Below are 22,653 nucleotides of genomic sequence, written 5' to 3'. Positions count from 1 at the left end.
TAGGTTAAATGAATGAATTAATTAAAGACACAGTTAAGTGATAATTGACATCTGGCTCACTGTGCAGTTCTAGAAGTTGGTAAGATTCATACTATTTGTCATTCCTGTGAAGAGACTGAAGCTCTAAAGATCAGTGAAATGAAGTGAGTTTCCTGAGACACACGGCTCATACGTGATAAACCAGGACTTGCATAGATCCCCTGAGAATCTGAATTTTTATTCACCTTTGCTTTTTAAGTATGGGTATTATGTGGCTTATAGGTAGAGGTTTAAAATTTTTTAAGTTAAAACATGAAAATAACAGAAACAAAAACAGAAAACACAAGAAAGCCCACAGGACAGTGGATTCTTTCCAAACATCTCACTTCAGTGGCAGCTACATTTGAAGAAAGTCTACTTGTTGCATTTAAATTACCTGTCACAAATCACAGTGTTCACCCAGTAGCAGCTAGGAGGGGCTGATTCAAGCCCCTGAGAATTGTTTTGTGTCTTGATCATGAGTCCGAACAACAGAACTTTACAAGGATGTTGCAAGCCGCTTTAAGGGGTGATGGAACCAATGATAGGAACCAGCACCTAACACCTGGCAGAGACTTTGTCAGCGTGATGCCCAAGCCCCTGGGGATTTCTGCCCAAAGGTGATACAGCCTGATGGGTTTCCTGGTTTGTTGAAGCTGGCGGTGAGAGAGAGTTTGAAAGAAATGACTTACTCGATGCTGTGTGACACAGGGAGCTCATTCGCCTTGATGCACTTAGGCAAGCTGCCTAACCTCATTCAAAACAAGCCAGTAAACTAGTAAACCAAAACAAAACCAAAAATGGAATTAGGCTTCTACAGTGCTGGAGATATAGTGATTAGTAAGACAAAATAAAACAGCACACATAGCCCCTGCCTTTCTGGACAATTTGTTTAAATGGTGGACACATACATTCATGAAAGCAGTCTATAAATCAATGTTGATTAACAGCCACATTAAGTACTATGAAAATATTAGGTTGGTGCAAAAGTAATTGCTGTTTTTGCCATTAAAGGTAGGGGCAGTAACAGTAATTTACTTTTGCACTAACCTAATACAAGAAAGAGCATGGAAGAGCGGAAATTTGCCTAATCCGTGAGGGTATGGAAGACATCCCTTAGGAAATGATGATCTAGAAATGAATGAAGGAAGAATAGGAGTTGGACAGAGAAGGTAAGAACAGTTCAAGGAACCTGGAACAAGACAAGCAAAGTCTCTGTGGTGGACACAAGGTGGCCGAGAGGTCATTGCATCCAGAGAGGAGAAAGCAAGGTGGGGAGGCTGTGATCTGTGACAAGACTACATATCCCATTGGTATCCACAGGCCATGTGGTGATTTGTGGTATTTGTCCTCAGTGACATTTGACACTGAATGGTCAGCACTGCAGTAGTGGTAAGCTCAGGCTGTTGAGAGAGTGAAACCCTCGCCTTGACTCAGGCAAATGGCTGCAAGGATTTATTGACTGCCCATGGGGATGACACCAAACTCATCCCCAACTTCAGACAGTCTGTAGAATAAGTACAGTCTGATCCCAGGTGATGGAAACCACATCATCACAGTCACTATGTGCATAATAACTGTGGAGTAAGCCTAACGCCACTTGGTACAAACTTACCACTCAACATAATGAACATAAAGGACGCTGGCCTGGAGAAAGGAGGACTTTGACTCATATTGAATTCTGGATTCATCCCACTGCATGACTTGCTTTGTCGATGCATTTCATTTAAGTCTGGAGAGGACTTGAGTGCCGGGTAGAGAGATTTATTTAGAGGCAGAAGGCTCATTAAAATCCCAACCTTTTTGTTTTGTTTTGTTTTAAGCCAGGGGTACCTCTAATTTGTGGCCTGAAAATTTTGCTCGGCAAGGGATTGAAAAATGGAGAGATGGGTTTGTATGCCAGGACTGTCTAATCACCATCTTGTGTGAGCTTTAGAAAAGGACTCATTCTGCAGGCTATTAATGAGGTGAGTGTTTAATGGCCCCTTGATGCTCCCCCATCAGATATAGTGTCTTGAGTTTTTAATAAGCTCTGTTCTGGGTCCTTTACAAATCAGAGTGTTGGAACAAATCCTTGAGGAGACATCAACAGCAAGATGATGCAATGTGTGTGAGCTGGAAAGAGCAGCCGTCTTAACTCCAGAGAGTGTCTAGGAATCTGTCTATCTCAATCTGCCGACCATGTGCACATCTAATTTTCACTTCCTTTTTGTTCTCTGGGGAACAAGACACACTTAGATTTTACGTTTTCTCTGTAAGGAAAAGGTGATGTCCGGGGTGAAAAACTAAGGAATCTTGTTCTTCAACATTGAAGGTATATCGCAAGCATGATTTTGGAATTAAAAAGGAAAAATGTTCACTTCGTTTTCCTTTAGCATGTAGGGAGTTATTTTAGGATATCCTGTGTTTTCTGGCACAAGTTTCTCTGTCTAGGACAGAAGGATTGACTTAGAGGACATTGGGGAATGGGGAAAAAAGAAAGCAGGAGGAGGAGCCCCCTGACCCCAGTTTGAATCCCAGTATTCAGAGAAATTCTTCTCTATACCTCTAAAATACTGTTGTGTTTGAGAAGAAGCATGGGGCAGTTGGAAAGTGTTGGAACGTCCTCCACTGTCCCCTTTACTACTTCTGCCTCCTTCACTCCTCTGGACCACTCTGAGGTTGTGCTTCTACCTACTCCACTTGCCTTAAAGTCCCAGGTGAACATCTCACTGCACCACACAGCAGTACCTTTCAGCCTTTGTCTTCCTGGACACTAGACACCTTTCACCCCTGCCTTCGTCTTCAAGCTCTCTACTCCCGTGGCTTCTAAGTTATCGCATTCCCCGGCTTTCTCCTCGTACCTCTCCTACATTCCTTCTCTGCCTCTTTTCCACACACACTCTCCTTCTTTTGTTAGGGGATGCCATGCACAGCTGTCAACAACTACCGCCCCCAGCAGATAGACAACTTCTAAATCTCAAGCCTCAGCCCTGACCCCTTTCTCATCTTCAGACCTGCCTATCCACCTTCTTGGTGGACTCCCTGCAGGGAGGTTTCAAAAGCAGCTAACCTAAACCTGAATTCCATATGCATTTCTCTGTCCCCCTACCTATACTCACTTCCACCCTTGCTCACTCATTCATTCAAAAAACATTTACAGAGTGGCTACTGTATGTCAGGTACAAGGCTAGGTGCTGGAGCTACAATTGTGAGGAAGAAAGCAGGGTCCCTAACCTGTTCTCCACTTTTGTAAGTGACATCACCATTCACTTGGCAATCCTCTTTCACTCCCCAATCTCCCTGCCAATCCGATCCATGAGTTGCCAAGACCAGTTGAATGTACCTCCTAAACATCTCTTGAACCTCTCTTTTGTGTATCTGTATTGCAGCAATCCTAGTTCAGATCTTTCTCTCTTTTCTGGAGTTGCTTTAGTGAGATTTCTCTGGGCCTGCTTTTCTGCCTTCATTCATTCCCTCCTCCAAGCCCTTCCTCATACTCAAGCTCAAGTGGTCCTTCCCGAAGATAAAAACTTGCTCATGTCACACCGCTGCTAAAAAATTCTTTCATGGATTCTTCTCGTCAACCCCAGAAAGCATTAACTCCTTGTCTCTTTTTTTCACTCCCTGTCTGTGTCTCTCCATCCTTCCTCCTTTCCATGCTCTTTCTTCCTCCCTCTTTTTCTTCCTTTTTCCCTTTTTCTCTCACTTTCTTGTTGCCTGACTTTCTCTCTTTCATTCAATAATTATTTGAATGTCTTTAATCCAATCCCACAGATATAAGCATTGAGTTCCTCTCTGTGGCAGGCTCTGTCACGTGTACTTGGGATCAATGAACAAACAGAATATACCTGACTTCATGGAGCTTATATTCTATCAAATAGGACATTGAACAGACAGAAAATATTAATAATAAGCATTGTAAGTAAATCATATGAGTTATATGGAACGTAAAGGTGACAGATAACTATGGAACCAGATTCAAAGGTATTTCTCATTGTGAGCCAGAGAGGCATGGACCTACCCTCGGGCCCTGCCTCTTCCCCTAGCCACACACTTCTCTGGCTCTTTTTTCTTTTTTTTTGCATGTGTTTCTTCAGCACTAAGCTGCTCACATTCCCAGTGGGTGCCATGTTCTTCATTCTGTGTGTCTCTGCACACTGTCTTTGTACACTGTCCTCTCTGTACTCTGTCTCCAGACCTTTCCAGCCTGTGCCAAGTTGCCCTCCATCTACAAGGACCTCAGGGGTCACTGGGAACCCTTTCACCCTCTCTTGCTGGGTTGGGTGGGTCCCCTTCCTCTGCATTCCCTTGGTGCCCTGAGCTTTCTTTGGCCACAACTCTCACTACTGGAGCATGCTGAGGGTGGGTTGAGCTCTGTGGCTCCATGACTTTCTTTCTGGGTGAGGCTTGGAGGCCAGTGAACCCTCCACACTTCCAGCCTTAATTTTCTCAGGTACAAAGTGTGAAGGAGAGCCTTCTATTTATTTCTCGTGGTTGCTACAAAGTTTGCAGCAAATATGAAATACCCAAGGGTGAGCGGTATCGTTGGGGGCTGGGAGGTCACTGGGCAGTGAGTGTCAGGGCTTCTCTGTCCTCTGAGCCCTGAGGAAGGAGTGCCTTCTGTGTTCATCAACACTGGAGAAGACAAACTTACCTGAGGTTGAAGAACACATGGGCTGACTTGGGCTCTCGCCTGCAACCAGCTCTGAGTGTGATGGGAGCCAGGAAGCCCTGGGGCTCAGCATGAACACAAATGGACCTTATTTGATTGTGTTTTTCTCCTTTCAAATAGTAATTTGGACACTTTTCAGAGGCTGACATTCAATTTCTTTTTCTATGTCACTTCGGAGAAAAAAACAAACCATCATTTTTTTCTGTTAAAATCTCTCCCTTTTCCACCCCTTGTTTATGCTCCTAATTCCATTTGTGCTCAGAGTTTAATTGTAATGGTGAGCTCTGGTCATATTAGTTCATCCTCTTCTTTTGAGCTGCAAGTGGGTCTTGGACAGGCTGCCCAGCTTAGTACTTGCTGAAGAGAACAAACAGATATTAGCTTTTTGACATGCACGCCTGTGCGCACATACACAAACACAAACACAAATGCACCCATGAGAATTTAGCGTTGCTCTGTTAAAGGGGCAGATGATATTCTGTATTTGGTCTGCTGGTCTCCAAAGCAATGAGAGGTGAATAAATCGGATGCCCATAAGATGCTTATTTACATAAGTTAAAGGATGCTCTGTATTGTGTTAGCTTCAGTGGGGGGAGTGATTTGCGAGCAGAATATTATGCTCCAGGAAAACAGTGCAGATTAGGTTGCTAAATCTCCTGGCATTAGTTCAGGGTGCATTCTTCTGCTGTGGATGCATTGCTTCCAGAGGAAGAAGCTGGTGATGGAGGAAGCACTGTGCTGGGGAAGGGTTGATCTTCAGATGGTATCTGAATATATGGGAGAATGACCAGGTAAAGGAAAGGGAGCTCACAGGTTAAGCACCGATAAGGAGGGAGGTGCACGTTGTCAGTGGTGAAGAGCAAGGGTTTTGGAATCCAGTAAAATTTAAATTAATTAGTTTTGACATTAGACATTAATACTACCTTCTTCATGGGGTTTCGTTAAAGACTGAATGAGATAATGTGGAAGAAATGATCGGAATGCAATAAATAATCAGTAAACAGCTACTGTACATGAGCTCATCTGATCTATGAAGTTGGTGGAAATTGCTTTTCCTGTTTTACAGCCTAGGACACGGAGGCTTAAGGGGTTGAGCCAGTTTCTCAAGGCAACACGGGTAGCCTGTGGAAGAACTGAGGTTTGGACCTAGATGTGTCTTATTCCAAAATCCTTGCGCCTTCCACTGCACTAAGCCATCTCCCATGATTTGGCTGGGACTCTGCTCCTGCAAAGCAATTATAGCTGTCCTGTTTGCTATCTGCTTAGTAGCCTCATTAGAGAAGGCTGTCATTGTAGCCTATTCAAGTTGTAGGGCTCTGCAAAGTGAGAGGGGTGAAAATGATGCTTGCAAAGCTTCCTGGGAGCTTTGGATACCTAGAAGGAGCAATAAGATGTGGGTCTCCAGGTACCCACATCTGATGGGTGGTGACCTCCTCCCTCCTAGACCCTTGGTAGTTTCTTTTTTCTACCTTGGCTAGGGCCTCAAGTAACCATGAGGTCCAAGGGCTCCCTAGGGATCCTCTCACACCACCTGCAAGACTAAAGATACCTAGGAAAAGCTTTAGGTGAGGATATGTAGCTGGGAGAGGAGAACACATAAAGGGGCTTGGGAGTGGGCTAGAGATTAGGGGAGGGAAACAGTCTGTCCCTGTGCTCACAAGAGCCCTCAGTCATCTCTGACAGCAGCAAGGACATGGGCTCTTTTTGGAATCAATTCCTTTCCTGGGTTTTGATAGAGAAGGAATCCACTTTGCCTGAATCTGTTTGGTTCCTGAATCCTAGAGAGCAAGTAACAAGGGTTCAGACAGTGAAGAATGCCAGCCCAACCCTCCTCAGAATTGTTTATTACTTTCCTGCCTTCAGATTGTGAGAGTTTGGGTAGCAATGGATTCTCACACTGCAGACACTCAGTTCTACCTCTGAGCCCCCTCATTTCACACCCCCTGTTCATCCAGCTCTCACTTATACCCTGCCCTCTCTAACCCATCACTGTGCTACTAACTCAGCCACTGCCTTTCTCACTGGATGTTCGTTTATTTCTTCAATCTCTTATACCCACAACTCATGTCACATCCACCCATCCGTCCATCTGTTCATCTGTCCATCCATCCATCCATCCACCCACCCACCCATCCATCCATTTATCTGTCCGTCCATCCATCCAACCACCCATCCATTTATCTGTCCATCCATCCATCTGTCCATCCATCTGTCCATCTGTTTATCCCATCTCTCCATTCATCCATCCACCCACCCGTCTACCCATCCATCCATCTGTCCGTCTATCCATTCATCCATCCATTCATTCATTCATTCATCCTCCCAACCATCCATCCATCTGTTCATTTTTCTCTTCCGTCATCCATCCATCTACCCTATCCATCTATCCACTCATCTGTCCATTCATCTGCCCACCCATCCATTCATCCACCCACCCATCCATCCACCTGTCCATCCATTTGTCCTATTTGACCATCCATCCATCCATCTGTCCATCCATTCATCCATCTATCCATCCAATCTATTCATCCGTCCGTCCATCCATCCATGCATTCGTCTGTCCATCCATTCACCTGCTTACTTATACCTTCACTGAATGTGTTCTCAGCTCCCCATGTACTGGGAGCTGGGCTGTGTGCTATTACTGTACAGATGAATTAGCATTAATCTGGTTGCATGGAGACAGCTATTTAAATAGACACCTAAAATACCTGGTGACGATTGACAATAGAGACCTGGACAGTGTGTTCTGGGAGCACCGTGGAGGTGGAGGGGAGAGAGGAGGCGGCAGCTGTTTCCTATTTCCTCAGTGAGCTCCCACATTAGTCCCCTACCTTTCAGTTCATGGAGCTCTTGCTCATTACCCTGTTACAGATACCCCAGCTCCCCTCCAGGTAATTAGAAAACTGCCAGGTCCATTTTATAGATGAAAAAAATGGAGGCTCAGGGAGACCCAGCCACTTGCGTACATTTGTGAGCTGCAGCGCTGGCATGCAGAGAAGGGTGGCTATGCATACCCTGGGGTCATTTTCTTTGCTTGGCAGATGGCCATGGGCACCATAGGACTGACCGGTGCTTCCTTCTCTCTCTGTGCTCTTCTCGTTCCTGGATGGCTTCAGTTCTCTCCCAGGAGTGAGGCGGTTCACCCCAGGGTGGCCCCTCTTCCTTTACTCCCATGCAGTATGTTCTGACTCATAACTGAAAGTGTTTTGCTGGATAAGACGATGGGGACTGACAGGCATGACATACCTGTGATATACCTGAAGGAAACACACGGTGGTGAGAATGTTAGACATCAGACACTGTCTTATGTCATTGCCTAGTCCTCCCTGGGATGGACAGAGGTCACCTGGCACCAGGACCCCTGGGTCAGAACCATCACTCTGAGAGATGCTTGCAGCATGATATTGGGCATGCCATGTGACTTGACCTCTAGAACTTTGCTACTGAAAGCTTGGTCCATGGACTAGCAGCAACTGATGCCACTCGGGAGCTTGCTTGCAATGCCCCAGCCCCCACCCGCTGTGTTTTAACAAGATCCAAGGTGATTCTTATGCTCATTGGAGTTTGAGAACTGCCTCTCTCTAAGCCCCAACTTCCTTAACTGTAGAATGGGAATAGAAATATTCCCTGAAACATTAGTGTGAGGATTAAATAAATGCACTTGAAGATCTCTGTGTGATCGACTGATTGTCCTGATTTGTCCAGGACTGAAAGGGTTCCTGCAAAGCGGAACATTCAGGTTTAACATTGGGATGGGTTGTCAACCTGCTTTCACCTCAGTGCTTGGCACGCGATAAGAGCTCCTTTGCCATGGTGCTGCAAAGTTGTGTCATTTAGAAGACGTGGAAAAAAGCCACAGGGGAGCTGTTTGTATTTGCATTAGTGCTGTGTTTGTGGGTTGTAGTGTTTTGGGTTTTGTTGCTGTCATTGTGGTTGATTCTTTCTTGATTACAACAGCCACCATAATCACAGCTCTCATTAATGGAGCTCTCGGTATGTGCTCAGAGTAATACATGCATTATCCCAATCACAACAACCTCTTTAAGGTAGGGAATAAAATTCCCTCCATTTAAAAAAAAAAATGAGAAAATGGAGCCTCAGAGCTAGTAAGGATTTTGTCCAAGGCCCAGACACCAGTAAGAGAAAGAGCTGAAATTTGAACCCTCTATTTGGTACCAGTGTCTGTGCCTTTGATAACAGGAACATACAGACTCCCAAAGGGAGAAGAAGCAATTTCTTCTGGAACTTGAGCATTCAGAGCTGTTTGGAGACATTTCTTTGAGAACACTGGGATATTTTTGAAATGGACATTTCGACGATAATGTTTACCACCAGGGCCTGCCCCTAGCAAGTGTTATGGGAAAGCCCAAGACACTCCTTTTTATTGCAGAAATAAAGCTGCTTCCTTCAGTTCAGCAGCAGCTCCTCTATGTATGATAGCCGGAGACGAAAACTTAATGAACGGGACTGGTTTGCTTTTTCTCTTTGCTGGAACAGCTTAATGATAAGCGATTATTATTGGTGGCAACTTGTCATGTCTTAAGTCTTGGTCTTGGCTGTTGTGGCTGTCAGAGTCTTTGAGAAGAAACCAATCTCAGCACATATTAGAGAAAAACAAAAAACAATGAGGAAAGATGAAGAGCTCATGCAGGGAAAAGTGAGATTTGTGAAGAGAGGTGGGTGTCCCAGGAAAAAGGGAAGAATGATGAAGAAAAAGAGAAGAATGGTAAGAAAAGGGAAGGATGATGAAGAGAGATGCACTACCCTGTAGTTTGAATTATTCTGATTCAAGTTCAGGAAGATGAGTTAAACATGTTACATTATTTTTTTCCTAGCCAAAGTGGCATCAGTAATCTTTGATTGCAAGTGACAGAAAAGCTAATCAAATTGGCTTAAGCAAAATGAGGTAATTAATTGGGACATGGAATTGACAACAAGAGAATTTGTCTTCAGGTGTGGCTTGAACAAGGTGTTCAACATGGATATCAGAACTTGGTAACTCTCGATCTTACAGCTTAAACTTTGGGTCTGATAGCTTTCTTCTTAGGATGGTATATAGTGGTTGGGTGGCTGCCAGAAATTCTGGTAGAACATCCATCCAAGTTCAAGTCTAACAGTAAAAGAAGCTGTCTTTTCCTAGTCCCTTTCTTCATAAATCCAGAAAGCCACTCTGATTAGATCAGATTAGGAAATGTTCCACCCCCGAATTAATTACTGGCACTATGGGCCAATTGGCTTGACTGAGAGAGAGGAAAATGAGGGCTCTCAGGGGGAATTCACTATTACCAGTAAAGGAAGAACAGATGCTCAGTGGTCAGAATAAAAAATATCCACCAGGTGGCTCAGGGAGGCCCATGCTTCATGAAAAAAAAGGGATCTGAAGAAAATAGTTTCAGAGGCACAGAGAAGGCCAGGGGCCCAGTCACAGTTGGGACTTGCAAAATAAAGCTGTTTCCTTGTGCTTAAGTTTATCAGCTCCTCAGAGACCCAACCCCATGGTCTCTGGTCCAGTAGGATTTCCCTCTGGCTTTAGTGGGAATCAGGCTTGCTTTCTGTGTGAGATTAGCTGGACCTAGCCCCAGACAATCCATAATTGCTAATGACCCTGTTTGGAAGCGTGGAGTCAGATGCTCACCTGCATGTTGACAGAGCACCAGGTAAAGCCAGCTTGGGTCTTTGCTGTTTCCTTGCATAACAATAAGGGTCTGAATCTCAGCAGGGCCTCCTTTTGGCCAGCCCTGCTAATGATCTAGAAAGCAGGGCTGAGTTCAAGAGCAATGATCATTGTGTGGTCCTAATTAATGTACAGTATATTGGGCTGTCCTAAATCAGCTGCAACGAGAATCAAGAAATACATTTCTCCATGCATTTATGTGTTCTTTCCTCTGGCATTGTGGACTTGATAGTGGGAAACTTGGCTCTGGGTGGTAAACTGGGACAAGGTCTGAAATTCCCAGGAAAACATGGAAGTTCTAGCCACAATATTTGAAGTTAGAGTACCAGTTGACTAAATGATATAGCAAACGAAAGATGCTGGCTGCATCTTTCAAGTCATAACCTAGCAAGTGTTATGGGAAAGCCTGAAAGACTCCTTTTTATTCCAGAAATAAAGCTGCTTCCTTCAGTTCAGCAGCAACCCCTCTATGTATGACAGCCCTTCTATGTTAGTCAATGTAGGCTTACCTATTGGCACAGATCAGAATTCCAGAGGGAAGAACAGGGTTATCTTACACAAAATCCCCCAAATTCCAGGTTTCTCCCAGGTTCCCTATTGGGAGACACTGGTGGCACATTTAGCAGAGGAGTTGTTTGCAATACAGTTGACCTAGGAATTAGATACAGACTCCCTATCCTGACTACAGGGCATTCATTGTGTGATGTGGCCTTTGCTTCCTGTCCTAACTCATGTCTCACCACTCTCTCTTGCTCCTTAAACTTCAGCTGTTCTGACTTTCCTTCTGTTCCCTGAACTTGACGAACCCTCGCTTACCTTGGCATATGTGTCTTCTGCTGGAATGGCTCTCCCTACTCTCATCTCGCCCCTAATCTTTGCCTGGATGACTCCTTCTTCATATCATTTTGATCAGCTCCAATGTAGCAGATCAGATGACCTAGAGTGGGGCTCCTCTCTCCACCCCACTCCTGAACTATGACATCATTTGATTTCCTTGAAATTATTCTATTTTGTTTTATTCAAATTTTTAAAATTTGAGATGGGTCTTACTCTGGGGTTGGCCAGACTGGTTTCAAACTCCTGGCCTCAAGCTATCCTTCTTCCTTGGCCTCCCAAAGTGCTGGGATTACAGGCATGAGCCACCATACCCGGCCAATTGTTCTATTTATTGATGTCCTTCTTTGTTTGTCTCCTCCCCTAAGAATGTAAAATTCATGGAATCAGGGTCCTTCACTTTGGTAGCCTCCTTCCCTAGATTCACTTTCCTGGAACAATGCCTGGTACAGAGCTGGAGTTTGTTAAATTTGTTGAATGAATGAAAGACAATCCACGGATGAATGTCTCTTTCTAGAGTGGTAGGTCTGGCAGGTCTGCTTAAGTACATAGAGCATGGGATCCTTTCCTGCCCACGGGCAGTCTTGCACTCTAGGGGGGATGCTTGTGCCAGTTTCCTTCTCAAAGAAGTGGTCCAGCAGTCTGCAAGGTGCTGAGCAGAAGTCAGGAGGGCACGGTGCCCTACCCTCAAGAATTGTCAGTCTGAAGGACATGCAAGATTCACACCTCTCCGCAACTAGGCAACCACATACGATCCAGATTAAAATCTTTAATGCAGGGATAATAATAAGACATCCCACTGTATGCTATATAGAGCTACATATTGGATATGCCCAAGAGAGATATTGGCTATGATGATGGTCATGATGATGATGGTGAGGAGGAGGAGGATGGATGTGATGATGATGGAGGATGATGATGACAGAGGAAGGGGGAGGGAGGTGGGTGGTGGTGGAGTAGTTGTTTTCCAGTGTGACCAATTCAGCTTATGTGCACGTGAGAATGCTATCCATCTGAATCCTCAGGCTTACCAGGCTTATTTGATGTTTTTACTTTTCCTCTCACCCCTGGAAATTGAAATAAAATATGTTGAAATGCTCAGTTGATACACTATGAGAGTAACAGAAAGCACATCAGGGCTTACCAGGGCTCACAAGGGCAGTCCTCAACAGGAGAATGCAAATTCCCCAGGAGTCTCTCTGGATCGTTGCTGAGTTACCTCCATTATTTCCTTTTCTTGGCAGACAGCAGGAAAATAAGTTGTGGAAATGGGTGTGGGGTTGACAATAGTGACCAATTCTCTCATGCTTCTTGGGTGTAAGCCTCCTGCCCCTCTCATCCTTCCCCAAGTACTTATCAGGCCCCTAGTGTGTGTCAGACATTGTACTTGGCTTTAAAGATACTAACTTGAATACCTACTTCTCAACCATACTGCTGTTGAGAAGAGACAGAGGAAAAACTAATAAATCAGCTTTAAAGTTCAGATACTCAGGCCACAGAGATTCCCTTTCAATCAGACTTGCATGGGGCACAATGCATAGGTTATTCTTTGATAACTCTTCAAGGGATTCATATGTGCAGCCAGGAATGAGAGCCACTGATGTGAGCAAGGGAAAACTGGATGCATCTCACGATGACTGAGCTGCCATCACCATGGGGCCATGTAGATCTCAGGGAAGTCATTTAACCTCTCATCCTGTGTCTTTAGGAGAAATGCCATCCATGAGTGTTATGCCACTTGCGTTATCTCTTGAGTAGTTAGGATCAAAGAGATAATGGGTGTGGATGGGCTTTGTAACCTTTATGAATGGGTAAATGGAATGTAAGTTGCTATTATGCTCTAGGAAACACCAGGCTTTGGTACCCATGGAGTCAGGTGTCACCCTGGGGACCGAGCAAGCTCTGGAACATTCTGGAACAGGATTGAATGCTCTAGACCTGATTGAATGAGTCCTCAGTTATGATGGTACTGAAACACAGAGTCTAGAGCAGACACCCAGAATCCCACACCCTCCTGCCTCCCTCGCTCTGTGTTTAAAACAGTTTGTTCTGTCTTCCGCAGAGCAGTGAGCATGGGGAGAGAAGTGCTTTTGCTTCAGAACCAAAGTGGGTGTATGAAATCTGTTCCTCTCCCCCAGCTGCACATTCTAAGGAAGCCGAGTGCCAGAGGTGGTCAGAGGCTGATATGTAGAATCCGAAAAATACAGGCTGAGCCATGGCAGGAGGAGGTAAGTGCAGGAGAGGTGGCCTCTACCATCAAGACAGGGAGTGGAAAGGATGTTCAGGGGCTTTGGGCTATTTGGCATATTGGACGCCAGGCCCTGGGAGTGTGGCCAGATTCCCCATCATGTCCTGCCAGTTCATAAAATCACCTTAGGAAATCCCAAAGTTAAATGTGAGCCTCTTCATTGCTCTGCTATGCAATTATATTTTGCAAATAGGCCCTTGCTTCTGTCCCTCCAAGGGGTAGATGATGCTTTTGGTCCATGGTGGTTTTTGGGTTGAATTTTAAGATACCAATAGAAATGACAGTAGTACAGGGTAACTGCATGATGCCCAGGAAGGACATTAGGGATGGTTTCTCTCCAAAGCATGGATTCATTGCTGTATGGAAAGGCAGTTTCTTCTTTGCATTATACAGGCTCCTTGGGCTCAGAATGAATGAGCTGGTTTGCATGGGGTGGTGGGGATTTGAAACCAGCATGTCAGTGGACCTGGAGAGGCCAGTTCTTGAAATAGGATGAGGACCCTCTTAGGTTTCTGACGATGTCTGTGTGGTCTGTAGGACCGAGGATGTGGAGACAAGCACCCAAACTGTCAAAGTCAGGCGTGGACAGATGAGTCTCCCACTTCTACCTTTTCATCCCATTCTCACAGCAGACCCATGTGATGGAAGGGTCATTATTCCTATCTTATAGGTAAAGAAACTCAGGCCCAGAAAGATTAAGCACTTTTTCAAAGCCACGGGGCTGGCTAGGTTAGCCACAGTCCCTCAGAGGCAGGACTTGAATTTAGGTTCAATAGACCCTAGAGCTCATGGTATTTCAACTATAAAGCTGGTGCACATAGATGGGTAGGCTAGGGAGTCTGAACTTAACATGGTAGGCCTATGGGAGCTATTGATGACTATAGAGCAGGGCAGTGGCATGGTTAAAGGGGTGCTTTAAGAGTTTCAACCAGGCAGCTCTGAACAGGGTGAGTTGTTGAGATGCTCCAAGTCCAGAGTGTGGATTACCTCTTGCAAAAGATAGCATGATCTCCTGATGTGAAATATTTGCTGAATACTTCATACTTGATGGGCACTACACTGGGTGTTTTGATACAAGAGAATCATTTAATTCCTACAACTTAATGAGGAAGCACCATTATTGGCAACAGCAGAGTGCAGAGGTAAAAACTCGAGACCCTGAGGGCAGGCAAACCTGATTTTCTACCTGTACGAACCTGGAAAAATCACCCTACTTCTGGGTCTTTTTTCATTTGTAAAATGGGCATACTATTAGTGCCAACTTAATAAGGTGGTTGGGGGTGGCATTAAATGAGATAGCACCTAGAAAGTGAGGAGCAACGTGACTCTCATAGAGTAAGTATTTCTAGCATGTTTACTATGATCATTATTACCATAGCCACACCCATTTTATAGATGAGAAAACTGAGACTTAGAAAGGCTGAGTGTTTTTTTTCCCCCCCATCCAAGGCCACATAATGAGGATTGGAGCTGGGTAGTCCAACCCCAGAGGTTCTAGTATTCTCCATTTTCTGCAGAGAGGCTGCGAATGGGGATCAGCATAGTGGGTAATGGGAGAGATTCAGCTTGGGCTGAAGTTTGGCATGACAGGGGGTGGAGACAGCACAAAGCAAGGGTTTTTGCACCTACTCTTTCACAGATGGCCTGTGCCGAGCTGGCTCTGGGCCAATTAACTGCTGTCCCTCCAATTATCTTTCTCCTGAGGAAGTTCACAGTGCAGCCATGCCTTCCTCTCTACATGTAGAGAACCAGATAAGATGCGTGTGCTTACAGCTTTGCTCTGTGCACAGACCTTTTCATGGGTACCCTGGTCATGTCTAGCTCAGAGTACATAGAGCAAGGGTGTTGGAGGATCCCACATTCCATCACCATCTGGCATGTCTGACCTCCACCTCTCCACCAGTACCAATCTTCCCAAGGAAGTGTCTCATAGACCCTTTTTATTAGGTTCCAATGGTGCCTTTAGCGTGTGTCTTGTTGAGAGCTTTCTGTATTCCTTGTGTACTTAGTGCAAGATGCTGATCCACCACCTTTTGCAGTCAGAAGGTAACTCTGGTGACTGGCTTCCTTTGAGGCATCATTTACATGGGAGCTATCACATTTCTTTTGTAATTTAGAACATTTTTGCCCCATCCCAAGAGGCGTCTCACAGTGTGTGAGGTTGGCGAATATAATTGCCTTTAGACTCTACTTCTGTGTTGTCTTCTGTTGGTGGTTTTTTTTATCTTGTTGCCCTATTTTGGCATTAATGAAGTTCTGTGGACAACTGCTGAGGTTTATAGGTCTTCTATATTCTCCTCTTTATCAATAAAGGATACATTGAGATATAGGTTGGGTATTGGATGGTTGGGTAGTTCCTCAGGGTAGGAAGGTGTAGGTGATGATCTTGAAGGTTTTGTTTTGTTTTGTTTTGGACACAATATTCAGAATCCACACAAAATACAATCTCAGATACTGAATTCCCATTCTTTCCATTTCTGGTCTTAACCAAGGACAGTCCTTTAGGCTTCATTCACATCTTCATTCCCTTGTCATCCACTTATGGGTGTGCCAAGACTTCTGCCAGGTTCTGGGGACATAAAGATGAAAACAACAAAAATCTCTGCCCTTGAGGAGCTCACAGTCTTGTTGAGATGTGATTTAAAATGGTTAATCAATTCAAGAATATTAGATTTCTGCAAAAGCTACTGTAGGGAAAACAATAATTATCCAAAGTCTTTAAATCTATTACCCACTTTAATTAATTTAATTAGGTAAAATTCATGGAACTGCAATGTTGGAAGGGGCCCAGAAGACATTTATTCTTGTTTCTTCTCTGCCTTCAGGCCATGCTTCACTCAAATTATCCCCCAAACCCATGCATTTCAGAAAAGAGCAGTATTTCGAAGAACTATAGCTTTTGGCCCATTCTGATAGAACTTTTAGTGAGCACCCACAGGGAAAGTGATGTAAACTTGTTGAAGGAATTGACATGCACAGCTACAAAGTATTGTTCTGAAAAACATGAATGGAACATCCACCTTTCACACACACACACACACACACACACTCTCTCTCTCTCTCTCTCTTTCTCTCTCTCTCTCTCTCTCTCTCAGTGGAATCCCCATAAGTTATCTTGTTGAGGTTGTGTTCAATACTCATGGTAAATACAGAACGCAAAATAAAAACATGGCTGTAATATGATGAGGACCTTTTGATAATTCTTTCAGTTCCCTGAAAGAAATACATCTCAGCACTTCTCAAATCCTGTTTTGCTCTAACACAGAGGCATACCTTCTGTTTAGTTGGCATTTTTGCACCATGTCCACAAGTCAACAACGTGGTTTAAGCATCTGTTCCATACAGATCTTCAGTGATCCCAGGAAGACTGTGATTGAGTGTCAGAAAGGGGGCAGGATGCAGAGTCATGGCACTGAGGTACAGATGTCTACTTGCTCTGTGACTGTTTTGAGCCTCGTTTTCCCTGCCAGCAATACCAACTTTGTAGGATCATTATGGGGATTTGATGAGTTAGGGGGTATGAAGGCAGTTTGTATATTGTACCACTGTATGCATCACCTGCCTTTTCTAAATGGAAATTTGTTCTCACAATCGTAGATGGGTGGAGATGTTAGGGCTAATAGAGGCCCTTTAACCTGACATAAGTTACCATGCCACTTTCTAGGGTGAGAGCATTCAGTGACTCTCCCTTATGCTCTGAATAGGCCCTATGTGCTTGGATTTCTGCCAAGCTCTTCAACATCGTATCGTCCGCCTCCTTTCGGTGCCATGATGCATTCATCTACAGCTTCTGAGATAGTCGCAGTGCATCCTCGGGATTCCTCTGACTGTAACATCCATGCACTTCTCCTCTTCCTCACCTGGATTCTCCTTCAGCACTTCATATACCTCTTTTAGCTCTTAGTTTGTAGAAGTTGTCTTCCACTTAATTCTTATTAAGAACACTTAATAAGGTGTTCGATAAATATTTGTTGATTGAAAAGGTAGATGTCCACATGGTATTTATGATACTCTGTATTATGTGGGAGCCGTATGTTCAAGTGACAGAAACCCTACTCAAACTCCTTAAATGAACATAGAAACTCACTGGCTTGTATAACAAAGGGGTCCAGGAGAAATGGCTTCATACTTGGCAGACTCTAGGGGCTCCAAATATATCGTTAGAAAACTGTCTTTGCTGATGCTGTTTTATTTCCGTGGCTTGATTTTCCGGTCATGAGCTGGGGTGGGGGTCAGATAGAGTTTGTTCTGTTAGAACCATATAGACTCAAAGGAGGAAGGGGCAGGACGAACTAGAGGAAAATGAGAAGAATAGATGATAAGCAAGCAATAATTACAGACATCCTTCCAGGACCTGGCTATGAGCTCCTGAGTACAGGGGCTTCTGTCCTCTCTGTATTTGCAGGATCTGTTCTGGAGTCTGGGATATAGTAGATGCTCAGGAATGTCTGCAAATGATTGATGTGTGATTTACTTTCCTTACTTCTAGGACGCAGTTTGTGCTTCTATATAAACCACCTCCTGCCTCATCCTCTGTTTTACTTTCTTTTCACTGGCAGGATCCGACGTCTACCTTCTTCCAGTTTGGAGCGTCCATCCAGCAGCAAGCCACGGTCATGCTGAAGATCATGCAGGATTATGACTGGCATGTCTTCTCCCTGGTGACCACTATCTTCCCTGGCTACAGGGAATTCATCAGCTTCGTCAAGACCACAGTGGACAACAGCTTTGTGGGCTGGGACATGCAGAATGTGATCACACTGGACACTTCCTTTGAGGATGCAAAGACACAAGTCCAGCTGAAGAAGATCCACTCTTCTGTCATCTTGCTCTACTGTTCCAAAGACGAGGCTGTTCTCATTCTGAGTGAGGCCCGCTCCCTTGGCCTCACCGGGTATGATTTCTTCTGGATTGTCCCCAGCTTGGTCTCTGGGAACACGGAGCTCATCCCAAAAGAGTTTCCATCGGGACTCATTTCTGTCTCCTACGATGACTGGGACTACAGCCTGGAGGCGAGAGTGAGGGACGGCATTGGCATCCTAACCACCGCTGCATCTTCTATGCTGGAGAAGTTCTCCTACATCCCCGAGGCCAAGGCCAGCTGCTACGGGCAGATGGAGAGGCCAGAGGTCCCGATGCACACCTTGCACCCGTAAGAAAGGGCTTGTTGTCTCCCAAAGTGGGATCAGAGTTTTGCTGTTGTCATTGTTTGCTTGCTTACATACTCATTGTTGGAAATACGCACTGAAAATGCAGAATGTTATGTGTTTACTTACGGGACTTTTATTTTGCTCTCCTCTCTCTTTCTTTCATCTCCTTTGTAAGAAAAGTCACATTAGACTTTGTTTCCTGCAACTTAACTTTTTTTTCTACTCAACAATATATCTTGGAAACCTACACCTGGGATTGATCGATCTGTCTGTCTGTCTATGGCTGTATCTCAAGTGTATCTATATTTTTTGTAACTCATAAAGATTTGAACCCAGATAAGTCTAACCTCATAGCCCTCATCACATTCTTCACTATGATATCATGGTATCATGATTTAGTTATCCAGTCTGCATAATGGTAGGAATTTACGAGTTAATTTTCTTTTATTTAAAAAAATTTTGTGGGTACATAGTAGGTATATATATTTATGGGGTACATGAGATGTTTTGACACAGGCGTGCAGTGTGAAATAAGCACGTCATGGAGAATGGGGTATCCATCCCCTAAGCATTTATTCTTTCAGTTACAAACAATTCAATTATATTCTTTATGTTAAAATACACAAGTCATTTATTATTGACTATAGTCACCCTATTATGCTATCGTATAGTAGGTCTTATTCATTCTTTCTATGTTTTTTTTTACCCTATTGATCATCCCCACCTCCCGCCCCAACCCCCAATACAAAAATGTGTTTATTTATGGGATAAGTGAAGTATTTTGGTACAGGCATACAATGTTTGATAATCACATCAGGGTAAATGGGGTTTTCATCACCTCAAGAATTCATCATTTGTCTTATAAACATTTAATTTAGGGATTTTGAAGCTTCCTATTAGAAGCTAAACAGCTGTGATAATCTTTATACATGTCTAAGCACATGTGCAAGTGTTTTTTCTAGGGTTGATTCTAAGATATAGGATTTTTGGGTCCTAATTCATGTGCATTTTTAAATGGAAGCATCTATTGCCAGATTGTCCTGCAAAGTAACAACACCAATTTATAGTCACAACAACAGTTTGTGAAACTACCCAGTTTCCCACATCCTCACCAACATGTTACGCTTTGGGGAAACTTCCCACACTAGTGCTCCTGGTCTCTGTTTGATTTTGCATTTGATTTTTTCCCTTCTTATATTCTAAGTATTTTTGTAGGCCATTGGAAATCTTGGCAAACATTACTCACAGAACCGCATTATATTCCATTATGTGAATGTATCATAATTTATTTAGCTACTCCCATCTTGGCGAACATTTAAGTTAAATTTTAGGTTTCTGAGAAGTGTCATTGTTCCTTGTGGCCCATCATTATGGTTCAGCTGTTGAGATTTAGAATGATCACTCCTATCCCAATTTTGCATGGTTTTGCCTGATGTTCACTGATTTAATCCACGCTTTATTCCTCAGATAATGAGCAGTGTAGAACTGTGATTAAGGGCCTCAACTCTGGAGTTAGACTTGTCTGGGTTCAAAGCTTGTCTCGTCCACTTTCTGTATGACTTGCACATCATTTTACTTTTCTGGGCCTCAGGTGTTTATTGCAAAGTGATGATAATAGCACCTAATTTCTAGGCAGTGGTTCTCAAGCCTCAGCAGGCATCAGAATCTCTGGGAGGACTTGTTAAGACACAAATTACTGGGCCTCAATCTCAGAGTTTCTAATGTAATAGAAAATATGGGGTGAGCCCAGAGAATTTGCAATTTCTTTCAAGTTTTTGGGTGATGTTGATGTTCTTGGTCTAGGGGCTGTGCTTTGAGGACCAATGTTCTAGAGATTGTCATATTCATTGAGGTGCCGCATGAAAAGTACTGTTTAGCACGGTATTTACCACATAGTAATACTAAATAACTTCCAGAGTGATCAGTGAAGTTTTTGGTCATCAGAAATTACAGTCAGCAGGCTGGGTGTGGTAGCTCATGCCTGTAATCCTAGCACTTTGGGAGGCCGAGGTGGGTGGATCGCTGGAGGCCAGGAGTTTGAGACCAGCCTGGTCAACATGGTGAAACCCTGTCTATACTAAAAATACAAATGTTAGCCAGGTGTGGTAGAGCATGCCTGTGATCCCAGCTACTCATGAGGCTGAGGCAGGAGAATCACTTGAACCCAAGAGGGAGAGGCAGAGGTTGCAGTGAGCTGAGATCGCACCACTGCACTTCAGCCTGGGTGACAGAGTGAGATTCCATCTCAAAAAAATAATAATAATAAAAGGGAAATACAGTCAACAAACCATGTTGGTTTATTACCAGCAGGGTACTATGTCACTCTGAAATATTTCTGGAAGGCTTTAGGACTTTGAATCTGCTACAGTTCAGAGGTTATCTCTGAACTGGGGCTGGAGGAGTGTGTGTGTGTGTGTGTGTGTGTGTGTGTGTGTGTGTGTGTGTGTGATGAAGTAGACAGAATATACTTCTTACAATTAACATAAATCTGAAAAATGAACCTTGAATTAAGAAATCATGCTCCTTTGACATTTCTCCGTCCTCTGTCCTTTTACTCTCTTTAGTAATCCTGTTTCTACACTGCCACTTTCAGCATTTTAAATAATTGTCCAGATATCAGGAAGGAACTCAGATAAATCAGCATGAGACATGGGAGTCTCTTACAGAGGCAGGATTGCTGCCAGCCCAAAGACACAAACGAGGCTAATGAATTCTCACTTCCATCATAATATGTGCCCTGCAGCTGGAATATTCAGAAACATATAATTTTGATGGAAACATAAATCAATTTTAGGGCAATTGAAATATAACATATACAGGAAAAGGAATTCTAGAAGGATAATTGGCAAGACATTTAGATCCCTTTCCAGTGACCACCCTGGATTCTATGCTTTTTTTAAAAAATTCTGCTGCTGTGAAATGCTGTTGCGCAATTTCCCAAAGTTACGCCTTTAAACACAGTAATTTTGTAAATGGTATTTCAGCCCCAGAGAAGCAATGCATCAAGCGTGGTAAGTCGCCATCCACTGCTTGGTGTTTAATGAAACATCTCTCCATCCATGCAGGGCTGGTGGTGTCCACCCAGTGTGTAAGTTTGGATAAGGCACAAGCAGTCTCTCCTTCCCACACTCTCCCACGGTCCCTGACGCCCACCCCAGGGAATAGTGGAAACCTGCCAGGCTGCCCTTGACAGGGAGCTAGAGAAAGGCCAAAGAAAGCATTTAAAAACAAAAAAACAAAAAGGATTATATCTCCTTTTTTTTTTTTTTTTTTTTTTTTTTTAGACAGAGTCTCGCTCTGTCTCCCAGACTGGAGTGCTGTGGCACAATCTCGGCTCACTACAACCTCTGCCTCCTGGATTAAGCAATTCTCCCGCCCCACCCTCCTAAGTAACTGGGACTACAGGTGCGCACTACCACATTTGGCTAATTTTTGTATTTTTAGTAGAGACGAGGTTTCACCATGTTGTCTAGGCTGGTCTCAAACTGGTGACCTCAGGTGATCCACCCGCCTTGGCCTCCCAAAGTGCTGGGATTACAGGCATGAGCCACCACACCTGGTCAAGGCACTATATTCTATCCTCTGTCTATCATTGCTTCCAACCAACAGACTCTGTGCTAGCCCCTGGGATACATAGATGAATTAAGATATAATTTCTCTCCTCAAACACCATACAGTCTGATCAAGGTGGGGGAAATTTATCTAAAGACAAACTTAGGAATAAGAATTCTTTTTTTAATATTGAAAAAAGAATAGTACAGAAAACAACAGAATCTGATAAAATACTCAACCCGATATTCATCATAGGGAACAAAGCTAAACCTGCCAAAGGTTAATGTTTGTTTCAACATTTTGAAAGCAATAAAACATTAATGATAATGTAGAAGTTCTGATTCTATCTGTTTCCCTGTCCCAGTTTTCTCCTGTTCTCTCCATAGAAGGGAAAACATGATAATCAGTTTGGTTTACATCCAAATCCATGTACATGTGTTCGTACTTTCAATACACATACATGTGCAACCGTATTCCCAATGCATACTTCTGTCTAACGTACAAAAATGGTGTCTAATGT

General features: G+C 43.8%; 1 protein-coding gene across 7 annotated transcripts in view; it reads left to right on the top strand.

The window, feature by feature from the left end:
* The window catches only part of GRIN2A (glutamate ionotropic receptor NMDA type subunit 2A), a 429,505-nt gene that overhangs the window by 226,367 nt on the left and 180,485 nt on the right, over positions 1-22,653 (top strand). For all 7 annotated transcript variants that reach the window (NM_001134408.2, XM_047433994.1, XM_017023173.2 and 4 more), the window contains one exon: positions 17,991-18,583. In NM_001134408.2, coding sequence (NP_001127880.1) covers positions 17,991-18,583 — 593 coding nt within the window. The remainder of the gene's footprint in view (positions 1-17,990; positions 18,584-22,653) is intronic.

This window comes from Homo sapiens, chromosome 16 (assembly GCF_000001405.40).
Source record: "Homo sapiens chromosome 16, GRCh38.p14 Primary Assembly".
In the NCBI taxonomy this organism is placed as follows: Eukaryota; Metazoa; Chordata; class Mammalia; order Primates; family Hominidae; genus Homo; species Homo sapiens.
This window is presented reverse-complemented; position numbering and strand designations above follow the sequence as displayed.